General features: G+C 42.0%; 1 protein-coding gene across 12 annotated transcripts in view, besides 2 other annotated features; it reads left to right on the forward strand.

Annotated features, from left to right (window-relative positions):
* The window catches only part of LRRC8D (leucine rich repeat containing 8 VRAC subunit D), a 115,580-nt gene that overhangs the window by 77,410 nt on the left and 25,974 nt on the right, over nt 1-12,196 (forward strand). The gene's annotated exons all lie outside the window — the stretch shown is intronic.
* Nucleotides 7,561-8,162: an enhancer, noted in NCBI's record as "H3K27ac hESC enhancer chr1:90371561-90372162 (GRCh37/hg19 assembly coordinates)". NCBI's record gives its function as "activates a minimal SCP1, AML or CMV promoter by ChIP-STARR-seq in primed H9 embryonic stem cells {active_cell/tissue: H9 hESC(primed)}" and the evidence as "EXISTENCE:reporter gene assay evidence [ECO:0000049][PMID:30033119]".
* Nucleotides 8,163-8,766: an enhancer, noted in NCBI's record as "H3K27ac-H3K4me1 hESC enhancer chr1:90372163-90372766 (GRCh37/hg19 assembly coordinates)". NCBI's record gives its function as "activates a minimal SCP1, AML or CMV promoter by ChIP-STARR-seq in primed H9 embryonic stem cells {active_cell/tissue: H9 hESC(primed)}" and the evidence as "EXISTENCE:reporter gene assay evidence [ECO:0000049][PMID:30033119]".

Raw genomic sequence — 12,196 nt, forward strand, 5'->3', positions numbered from 1 at the left:
TTCCTGTGGATCAGGACATTGAAGCTCAGAAAGAGCTCATTTGCTGTGGATCACATAGCTAGTAAATGGATTCACACCCAGATATGCCTGAATTCAGAGTCAAGTGGAAGAGGAATTAGACTTAAATCTGAGTGGCCCCAGCAGCAAGGCTAGGATCAGTGAGTGTAAAGGAGAGATCGGTTAATTTCATAGACTGATCCAAAAGAACTTTCTTGTAATAAGTGCTGTTCCCGAAATCAAGCAAAGTACCTTAAACACAGATACACATACACAAACAGCTTTACTAAGATTTAATTTACATACTGTAATATTCACCTGTTCTAAGCATACAACTACAAAGTACCTTTTAAGGTAGTACATTTCCTGTCATTAGAAATGTTTGTGCAGAAAGGGCTGGAAAATCTCCCAGATAGAGTAGAGGAATGTTGTGTTTCCATCTCTATGAAAGCCAGTGTTGAGTAACTCAAAAGCAGTGTCCATACTGTGATGTGCTGAGTGGCTGTTTACTTAAGTGTTTTAAATGTCGCTGGATGTAAAGGAAAGGAAAGTTCCAAAAGGTGTTCCAGTTGGGCTTTTCATCTTAAATTTAGATCAACGAGATGAGCTCTTCAGCTTCGGAAACACCCAGGCCTTTCATTCTGGCTGCATACTACAGTTGCAGAGGAACTTTTCAACAATTCAGGTGTAGATTCAAGGGCCTACCCTAGGTCCACTAAGTTGGTACCTCCGGGGGTGTGGCCTAGCATTACATTAGTTTCTGAGGCCACCCCGCATTATTCTAGGGTGCAGCTGTGCTGAAAACCACTTTCTTTGGCTGAGGAGAGGCTCAAGTGTGCCAGAGGGTCATGGAGGGTCAAAGTTACAAACCAATCCCATTCTGCCGGTGACCTGTCTTTTCTGCATGGTCAAATCAGCCACATCCAAGTTACTTCTAGTTCGCCAGCCATTGCTGCTGTGCCATGTCTGGCTCTTTGAAGATGTCTGACAGTGTTGGCAGTTAACCAGAGACAGTTTTGTGACTTAATAACCAGATCAACTTTGTATGTAATTCATGTCCACCAGACATTTTTGCAGAGCTTTAGGATGGAGAGGACCTTGAGGAAAGAATTAATGTAAACTGCATCACCTTAGCTGATCATCATTCCTGCTTTTAGAACAATTTGAACAATTACACTCACATTTGAAAATTTTGTGCATCTGTTCTTCAGTTGTGCAGGTCACAATGTATAGGCCCACATCAAAGGATCAATGCTTTCAGATTTGTCTTCTATGTGGAACTTGTATGGTTAAATGATTATAATGTAGTAAAGTGAAAATCTAGTCTGGGAGCTAGAGGGTGTCAGAACTGATGGTCCTGGGGATCCTTTGAAACCTTTCTGAGCTTGTTTCTTTGTCTGTAAAATGTGACCAACAATTCCTGCCTTGCAGTATCACTCTAAGGATTCAGCTAAAGAATATGTGTGATAAAGTCTTACAACTATGTATTTATTGCACCCCTTCCATGTGCTGGGTAGTATACTAGTCCCTGGGGAAACAAACGTGAATGAATTATGATCCCTGCCCTGGAGAATCTTACAGCTTTAGTGAAGGAGATAGACTCAAAACCAGATAATTGTACGAGAGTGTAGAGGGGCAGAAATGCACAGGATACTCTGGGAGCATCAAGGGAGGATTAAAAGGACTGGGTTATTGGTGTAGAGATTTCCAGGAAGGCTTACCATAGGCACTGATGGCAGGCAAAGACAGGTAATTAACAAGGTAAATTGGAGAAAACTGGATACTTTAGGCAGAGGAAATGCAATGGGCAAAAGCCTGTGGATGAGAACCTGGTAGAGGGACGATGTGTTACAAATGCTGATGGTGTTTTATTCAATTCTTGCTTTCCCCTGGGAGAAATGACTTTTGGGTACAGTGCATCAAGGAAGATTCAGAAGGTAAAGGTGGTGAGAGATGTAGGTTAAAAAGTCATCGTCTGTTTTCTTAGTTTGCCTGATTTCTTAGTTTGCCTGATTTCTTAGTTTGCCTGCTACACAAAGTGAAGCAGAATGCAGTTGAGTGATTTATGTCCATCATAAAAAAAAAAACTGACTAAAAATAAATCTTAGTTCAGGCCAGATGTAGTACATGTTTACCACTTGAGGTGAACATCGAAGCATAGTGGCACTTACTGGAAGTATCTCTCAGAGAAAGGAGGCTGATTTTATAAAGAAAGTCTTTGGAGCTCAGGAAGTCTGAAAGCTAAGAGTTGGTCCACAGAGCACTGAAGATAAGCTTGTTGAGCCTCACAGTAATTTTTGTCTGTCCCAATTTTTAGGCAGCAAAACCACAGCAGCATCTCATCAAGACTATTGTTAATGCAGGTGTCTCCATTGGTTTATGTGTCTTATCCTTACCCTGTTTCCTTCACAACTGTACCATCTTAGGAATCAGGAATCACAAAGCCAGGTATCCAATGGTGATTTCAGTTCTTTGCCATGGCGACTGGAGGCCAGAGGGGTCAGGGAATGTCAGGGGTGCATAATTCTTGTGCTGTAGGCTTTCCTGCCATACGTTATCAAGTGTACTCTACAGCATCCTGATAACAGCCTCTGCCCTGGGAAACAGACTGTGACCATGCATTTCTAGTCCAGCATATCCTATCAGAAGACCAAATGGCTTCATCAAAAACAGAGTGACAACCTCTTCTCTTTGCCTCTTCTGCTGACTCTGTTAACAGGCAGCATTGGGGCAGGAGAGCCTGCAGGCCTTTCACGGCTGCTTGAGTTCTCACCTGTTTGTCTGAGCTCTGATTCCTCTGCCCTGTAAGCGTAAAGGAGATGTGCTGAGTGGAAAGACCTCTAAACAGGCAGCCAGGAAGCCAGATTTCAGGTCCATCTCTGCCTCTAACTGGCAGCTTTGCCTTGGGTAAATCATCAGTGGGCAATAGTTTCTCTCCTGTAAAAGGAAAAGATTGGGTTTAGATTGTTTCTGAAGTTCTCTCTAGATTTAACCTGGAAGGAGTTGAAATTGCTAACCTTACTCTTAACTGCACCATTGCCCAGTCCCCAGCTGTCCTCACCTCTGCCCCACCCTTTCATTGCCACTGTCTCCTTCATACTTCCCTTTCCACCTGACCTGTCCCTGCCAACTCCATTCTTTCATGCCTGCCTCTCTGTATCTGGAGGGAATCCTTTGGTGCCCAAGCAGGGTTAGATTACCAGATACGCAGACTAAACATGTGTTTGGGGCACCAGAAAAGCAGACACCGTGCTCAAATATTTTTTTTAAAAAATAATTTGATATTTGCTGCTTAAAGAAATAAAGCCGTGATCATGAGAAAAAGCAGACCTTAGCTGGACTTTCTTATACTTATTTTATGGTTTATTATTTAAATTTGATTTCTGTTTGGAGGAACGCTATAATCTTTGCAGTACGTCGTGCCTCTGAAGGCTTCGTCTTCTTCCTCCTCCTAAACTTGTTGAACTCAGCCTTTCCACCGAAGCCTCACAGAGGTAGGGAGATGCTGCTTTGCTCTACCCTTTTCTCTGTACTGGCCTCATGTGTGCTGCTTTTAGTATAGTAACACATTTCTCTATAGCACTTTCTAGGTGAGCATCTCCATGCTGGGGGCTAGGCCCTGGGGCAGAAGTAGGCCAGGGAGAGAGGCACAAGGTGTGAGACACACTCTTCCTCCTCCAGAGTTTATAATTGAAACATATGTTTTCTCCACAACAATTAAATGCCAGAAATGGCCATACCTATTTGAAGGCGTGCAGACCAGTCTCTGGAAGATGCTCCTGCAGCAGGGACCTTGAAGAGAAGATGGAGGAAAGTTTAACCGTATTAACAAAGTGTGCATATCTGAATAGCCTGCTACTTTATTTCTAAGCCCTAAATCCCATGATTGTGGACTGTTGGCTGTTTCCCATTTTCAGAGCTGCCCCAAACCAGTTTCTCCCAGACTCAGGCATTCTCTCTGTGTCTTCATATCTCTTCTGAACTGACTTTTGTCCTTTGAGCCTGCCCTCTCTGATAAGCTGCCGTAGCCACTGAGAAGAATGACCAAGTTGAGTCCCTGAGCCCACAGAATAATAAAAGGATGTTTTCTTTTTCTTTTTTTCTTTTTTTTTTTTTGAGACTGAGTCTCGCTCTGTCGCCCTGGCTGGAGTGCGGTGACACCATCTTGGCTCACTGCAAGCTCCGCCTCCTAGGTCCACGCCATTCTCCTGCCTCAGCCTCCCGAGTAGCTGGGACTACAGGGCCCGGCTAATTTTTTGTATTTTTAGTAGAGATGGGTTTTCACCATGTTTAGCCAGGATGGTCTTGATCTCCTGACCTCGTGATCCACCCGCCTCAGCCTCCCAAAGTGCTGGGATTACAGGCGTGAGCCACCGTGCCCAGCCAATAAAAGGATGTTTTCTAATGGGTTCAGTCTGGTTGCCTAGGGGGAACATTTGGCTTTTGCATAGACTGTAATAATCCCCATTTCTTTATTTTCATAGTCTGGTTAATCCCATGTCATTGCCTTTGAAGTTAAATAAATTGATTGCTTAATGTGCACGGGGCACTGTGCTAAGTGTGGACATGTATGGGCTCACTAAATCCCCACCACAACCTCTGAGGTGAGTGCTGTTGTTTCCCACTTATTGAGAAAGAGGGAAACAGAGATGTTAGGTAACACACCTGACATCACACAGCTAATAAATGGCAGAGCCAGGATTCTTCGCTCTGGCAGTGTGACTCCTGTGTCTCTTCTCTTCATCATTGCACTGTATGTTCTCTGAGGGTAGAGTTGTGGGTGTGCTGGAGACAGCATGGGGAAAGTAGTAGCACTCTCCATTTGAGTTGTTGGACTGATTTTGAGTTTCTTTCTTTCACAGTGAAAGTTGTTTGAATTGTTAATGAGAGGAAATTTTAGAAAATGCTTCACCTTTAATATATTAGGTTATATCTCTTCTCTGTAACGGCATCTTTTCAATTCTCTTCATCACTTTTTTTGTTTACCTAGTATGTGATCAAAATTAAAGTTGTCTGCTGTGGCTGCCTTTTCAATGAGGTACACAGTATCACATTGCCACATGTAATTTCCACTCAGGTGACACTGTTCTCACTGCTGAGAGAAATGGCAGGATTAGCAGAAAGGGTGGTATTAGATATTTTATCTCCCTTAATCTACAAGCAAACATGGTTACACATATTGGAATATGTCTTTTCAGGATTCTGGTGGACTCGGTTGGTTTATTTTAAGGATGAGAGTTTCCTCCAGAAGGTTAAGCATTATTACATCTGCTGCTTTACCACACCTACTTTTGGGGTGTTTGCTGATGTTCATAACTAGCAATAACTGTGATTCATAAAAAGGAATCTCTTATTTTTATGAACATTTCAATCTGGTGTCTTGAGTTGAGCCCAGAAACTTTATAGCTGGCTCTGAGTTTATTTCTCCCAAAACATAAATGTATTTTTGAGATCCTCTTAATACCTCTGGTATCTGATATTCACACATCATTTTATTTAATGATTCTAGAGGCTTGGAAGGCTGCTAAAAGTCATTGTTTTCGCCTTTGAGAATAATTACCATCCTGGAATCCCCAGTTTAGCCTGAGACCACCTAACTTCCCCCTACTCAGGATTCAAGCCAGTTCTGTCCAAGGACAAACCAGAGAGGGCCTAAAGAATTAAAGTGGGTGGGGCAGGATGAAAACACTAATAGTAGAGAGAGCTTTCTGAGCTATCTGGAAGGATCGTCCTCACCCTCTCCCAATACTTCTGTCAAAGTTAAAAACATTTCCCCCTTAGTTTGGCTCCTTCGGGAATCCCCAGGCCCAGTTGCAGTTTTCATTGCAGCTGTAAGTGACCATCTGACCACTGGTGAATTCAAGAAAGTTGGACCTTCAGGCTCTTTTTGGAGTTAATGGAGCATCCTGTAGTTTAACAGATGTGAAACTGTTTTTAGAGATATCAGCTGCCTGCTGGTCTGGTTCCTGGGCTGTGCCTTTTCGGTTCAGCCCAGGGGAAAGGGAGGAAGGAAATAAAATGAAATGAGTTCATTCACTTTTCTTCCTTAAAAGGACTGCAGGAATACAGGAGGACAGGGGCATCTGAACTCAGTGAATTAACTTGTTCTTCTGTCTGCTCCAGGTTATTTCCTTTGGTTCTTGCTGACATGCTTTACCTGGAGCTCTATTGGCCACTCCTGCACTGCACAGGTATTAGGACCAGACTCTGTAAGGCTGCAGGGAGGGATGTAAACACCTTAGCATCCAGAGTCATGACTTAGTAGAAAACACGTCAGTTTTATTATGAGACCTAAGTTTGAGTCCCAGTGCCACTACTATTAATTAGCTGGGTAATATTGGGCAATCTTGGAGTTGAACTTTTTGAACAGTTTTTTCCCTAACTTGAAGTTGGTAATAACATTTACTTTACAGGATTGTTGAATGGTTGTGAGGATGAATTAAAATGTTGACCGCGTTAAAGTCATTTTGTAAGCCATCCAGTATCCTTGCTGTTATAGTTCTATGCACAGCTGATTTTTTAGTTGCAGGCAAACGAATTTTTACATGGAAGTACTTGATTTTGGAGGTTTTAAATAACCCTTTTATAAAGGATTGATAGTTTAAAATAGTTGGTTGTAAAAATGAAAAGGAACTTGGAAAGAAATGTCATGCTGCCCTTCAGATTTATTTCAGCACACATAAAAGAAGCCTCTTAAGAGTTAAGTTTTCACCTGTGTCATTTGGCTTAGAAAATAGTTTGAAGAAACTTTTCAAGGGGCTAATGCTCTACAAGGGTCAAAAACCTATTTCCATGTGCTAAGACATCAATAATATTTTTAATAGGGCTGTTTCTCTTTTGAATATATGTTAATTGTTTCCCTCTAAGAATTCACACAGAAATTGGATATCATATTTTGGACTGCCTCCCAAGACTTTTATGGGATGGAATATGGTCAAATACTCATTCATGAACAAATAAAACCAAACAGATTTGTTTCCCTCTCACCACATTTTTGCACATATATCTTTAATAAATATTCACTGAAAGCTGTGAGCTATACAAAGCAAGGAAAACTACCCACTATTGAAGTTTGAGGGAGCCAAGTGAATAACCCCTCTTTCCACACCAGTTAGAAAGATAAAGGAGTCAGGCTGGTAGATTGCAAAATATCATCTTTATTACTGATGATGCACTTTGGAGAATATGGCTTTGGGTCTGCAGCCAAGTAGGCCTCCAGAAATTTTATCCCTGAATTAGATAAAACTACCCACCTTTTCTTGGCATGCCAGAATAATGGAAGCTGGTACCCTGCAGGGGAAAGCTGCTTTCCCCCAGCAGGAGAGGAGTCCAGAATTCGTGACCTTTGCAGACAGGCAAATCTCAAAGAGGACGAAGAGGAGGAATTAGTGAGGGGGCAGCAAGGAAGGCCCGGTGTATTGTAAGGAATTCTCTCTTGGCGATGTAACATGAAGAGAGTGAGTAAGTGTCCTCTTACCTCAACACCTGCAGTAGGGTCTTCAAAGGTAGCTGAGACCTGACCCCTGCTTACCAGGGACATTGAATGGGGAAGGAAGAGAAGACCTCTCTACAATTGTATTTGAACAGTTGTCCTTCTTCGCAGCTTTAGCTAAGGCTGTAAATGCAAGTGGGAGCACATTTTTATGGGGCAGCCGCATTGTTCCCTGGTGTTTTAACTGCCCCCCAACTGCTGTTTACTTCTCACATCTGAATCTTCTTTCAAGCATCACTTTTAGGCTTAAAAAAATCCCTATTTGACTAAAGAAAATGAGCGGAACAATTCCTCTTTATAAAATGCTAAACAGAACAAGACATCTGGTACTGTACACACTGTAGCCCAAAGGTGAATTTTACCCTCAATATAAGCAGAGTATGCTGTATGTCAACAGTCAGCTCAAACAGAAGCTCGAGCATCGCTGTAGAGCCGCTATCATCACTGAAGGGAATTCATCATTATCCCTGTTAGTAATTTCATAGCTTTGGAAACTGGTTTATAGTACTTAACTGAAACAACCCCAAAATCCCACCCCTGACTCTGCCTTTTCTATTTTCCCCAACTTCTGTTCCCTTTCTAAAGAACAAGATTTTGTGGAATTTAAAGTAGACTGTGACTGGCCAGGTTGCTGCTTGCTCACAATGCCTGTCCTGTGTGTTGGCTTTCTCAGCCAAACTTTTGGGAGCCAGTTGTCACCCAGGACCCAAGGCTGGCATTCTTTGGAAAAACCTGCCTGTGTGTTGTGCCAAGTTGTGTTAGCCACTCCATGTTATTCTTAGATGGGCTCTGGAGTATGACCAGCCTGTGTGCATGCATTTGTAGTAGGCACTGGATAAGAACTGGAGTAATGACTACAGAAGTGAACGGTCACAGCTCTAACCTGCTGAGTCATCTCAGCTCAGCCTTGCTAGCAAGGCCTCCCAGGCTGCATATAGTTTGCTTTTCCTGTTCGTTGCATTCCAACCTGTCAACGGCTATTTTCTGAAGGTCTGTGGGGGCTCATGTAGAAAAGGAATAGGTCTGGGTGGAGGCCAAGAATCTGAATTTGTATCATGTACCCTAGCTCATCTTAATTCAAGTGTTAGTCTGTAAGAAACAGAAGAATGGGTAACTCAACTCCTCCAAACAAATCTGTCAGCATTTACTCATGCAGGAAGGCTATTTTCATGTATCACGTTCAGAACACAAAGGGTCCCAAAGGGCTTCCCATCTATCTTTCAGGTGTTGGGCTTCCTGTCTTCCACTGTGTCTTTTTTTTTTTTTTTTTTTTTTTTTTGATACTGAGTCTCACTCAGTTGCCCAGGCTGGAGTGCAGTGGTGTGATCTTGGCTCACTGCAACCTCCGCCTCCCGGGTTCAGGCGATTCTCCTGCCTAGCCTCCTGAGTAGCTGGGATTACAGGCACAGACCACCACACCTGGCTAATTTTTGTATATTTAGTAGAGACGGGGTTTTGCCATGTTGGCCAGGCTGGTCTTGAACTCCTGACCTCAGATGATCCACCCACCTAACCTCACAAAGTGCTGGGATTACAAGTGCGAGCCACCATGTCCGGCCAGTCAGTTGTTTTAAATCGTGTATTGCCTATGAGCAGATGAGGAAGAGGAATCACACTGTCTATTGAGATTACTGACAACCTTTCTAAGCCTCATTTTCTCAGAGTTTTAGCCTCAAAAGGGACATTGATCAATTTGTAGTCTGATTTCCTTCTTTTCTCAGTTTACAAAGAACTTAGAGGAATTATTTCATGAGTCCCCCAAAATTAGTCATTTCCTACTTTGTGACCCCACAGCATTTTGTTCATACTCCATATTTTAAGTAAACACTGTTTTGTAATTAATGTGTTTATATGTCACTTCTTTCCACCATCACCACCAGCCCCCTTGCGCCAACTGATTTCTTCAAGAGATTGAACCAGGTCTAATTTATGTTTGTCTCCCACCAACCCAGTGACAGATAGATGAATCATGTTGCCTGGAGAGGTTAAGGGATTTGCCTAGAGTAGCAGCCCTGAAATGTGAGTGGCTTTCATAACTCCCAGCCATGTACTTACCACTCGTATGTTGCCAGAAATGTTTTTAAATGATGTGAATTCATGCAAATGAGTTAGGACACAACTTTCCCATTATGTTCCTCTACACTAGCTCATTTATAAAACATTCATAATAGTGATGATGATGATGATGATGATGTCATTACCACCCACCCAACTGTATCATTTTAAGGATCAACCTAAATAATATTTGTGAAAGCTTTGAAACTGGCAAAGCCACCTTATGCAGGTATATAGATTGCTATTACTCTAGTCTGTTGTTATTTCTGTGTAATTTACAAAGTATTTCATATTCATCATCTCACTTCTCGTTACACCTCTGTGAAATAGGTGGTCTCATTGTCATTTCATAGACACAAGAACTGAGGCTGAGCGAGACTAAGTATTTCAACCATAATCACAAATGGATGAAAGAAGACTAGAACCCAGCCAGCCCTCTTGCTTTCTTCCAGTACAGCCACTAGATCAAGGCTGCAGAGTCCCTCAGGGGTGTTGTTATCATCATCATCTGTTGAATCTGTTGCATCTTCTGTTGTGTGTTTAGGTCCTCAGGTCCCTAAAGCCCTCCTGGGTGAGCCCAGGAAAGAGACAACTTCATGAGAAATGAGAGTGAGGCCCTTCTAAGACCAGTTATGTATGTGTGTTGAAATGCTAGTCAGGTTTTTCATTTTATCAAAATGCAGGGCTTAGACACAGAATGCTTTATAAGACAAAGCAAGTTTGATTTTGAATTGGCCGACCATTGACCATGTTGGACCAGCAGCAGCAGCATGTGGATATGTGGGTCCAGGCAGGAGGGGCTAACCTCTCCATGGCTTCTGTCTCAATGGGGAGTTCCTTACTGTGACTCTCAGAGGAAATGAAGGATGATAAATCCAGCTGCTGCTTCCTGTTTCTATAATTTGGGGATTTATTTTTTTAAAGGGTAGAATGCTTTATTTTTAAACCAGTGGAAAATACCCTCAACGTGTTCCTTGTTAGTATTTCCTTGAAATCTAGATGCACTCATTTGAGCTTTAAAGGAGTGGGTGTGTTTGCGTGTGTGTGTGTGTCTGTGTGTCTGTGTGTGTGTCTGAAATTCCCATGATGCTGCCTGAGATGGCTCGCTCTCTTTCAGTTTTTCAACAACAATAACAACAGAATGAAAACCAATTAAGGCAGATTTCACTGGGCAGGAAGCTCTATGTGAGATTGATGACAGTATCTGATTTAGAGGAGGCCTGTAATTTATATCTGTGGTATTACTATCTCTCTGGGTATGCTTGTGCAATTCAGGTCTGGTTTTTCTTCTGCTTGTGATTGTGTCATTAGTAATAAAGTCCCGAGGCATTTAGGAAACACACTGCCTTCTCACATATCATTGTTTACAGACAGTAGCTGTTTGGTATAGATGATTAGGATGCCATTTTTGGAGTTTGATTATGTAGCCCCTGACTCCATAACTAAAACCAATAGGTAGAAATATATTTTACCAGTGCCATTTTTTTTTTCATTTCCTAATTTAAGAGACAGAGGATGTATATGGGGTTCCAATGGTACATCGTTCAGGAGCAGCATAGGAAATTTATCTGGCAAAATAGAATTATAAGAATTTAGTAGGGCCAGGCACGGTGGCTCACGCCTGTAATCCCAGCACTTTGGGAGGCCGAGGCGGGCGGATCATGAGGTCAGGAGATCGAGACCATCCTGGCTAACACGGTGAAACCCCGTCTCTACTAAAAATACAAAAACTTAGCCAAGCGTGGTGGCGGGCGCCTGTAGTCCCAGCTACTTAGGAGGCTGAGGCAAGAGAATGGCATGAACCCAGGAGGCGGAGCTTGCAGTGAGCCGAGATCATGCCACTGCACTTCAGTCTGGGCAACAGAGCAAGACTCCGTCTCAAAAAAAAAAAAAAAAAAGAATTCAGTAAATATACCAAATCCCCTCACTGAGTAAGAATCTTGGCTCTAATTTAAGTCCCTTAGCCCCTCCTTTCATGTTCTTAAAATCATAGCTAAGGTACTATTCTTCTTATAGTGGGTGATCAGTACATATTTTGTACTTACGAACCAGTAGGCCTAAGTGAGTTGTTTATTCTTTTAAGAATTATGGTTACACTTTAATGAATTCAGAATAAAAAATAAATCTTCACAGCCTAAATTTAGTGAAGAGATTATACCGAATATTTGGTCTGACTTTGTTAACAACTTTTTGAAGGTAAGATTTAAAAACTTTGAGACTATGACACTTACTGGAGGACTGTTCCAGCACACTGGATGTTGTAGAAGTCTGGAATTCTCATCTCCATTCTGCCATTTCCTTGTAACAAGTTTCTTGGCTATAAAATAAAGTTGATATTATTTGTTTGTCTCATAGTAGTTTGTGAGGATCAGATTAGTTGGAATCCATGGAATTGTCTTTTAAAAAGTGAGATTATGATAAAGACCTTAGGTAATATTGTTATTAAATGACAGTTGGGTTGTTGTTTCATTTTTTAAGACTTTACTCCTTGTGCCCTTAGGCAGCCTTTGACTACCAGCATTTTGTCACCTTCACTTTAAGGGTTCCTTCTAGTGATTTTTTTTAATTTGTAGAAGCAAATTTAATTTAATTTGAGTTAATCTCTAGTTTAAAATAAGCTGAGGGGGCAGGTATGGGCTTCATAGTGTCAGT

The sequence above is a fragment of the Homo sapiens genome, chromosome 1, assembly GCF_000001405.40.
Source record: "Homo sapiens chromosome 1, GRCh38.p14 Primary Assembly".
NCBI lineage: Eukaryota > Metazoa > Chordata > Mammalia > Primates > Hominidae > Homo > Homo sapiens.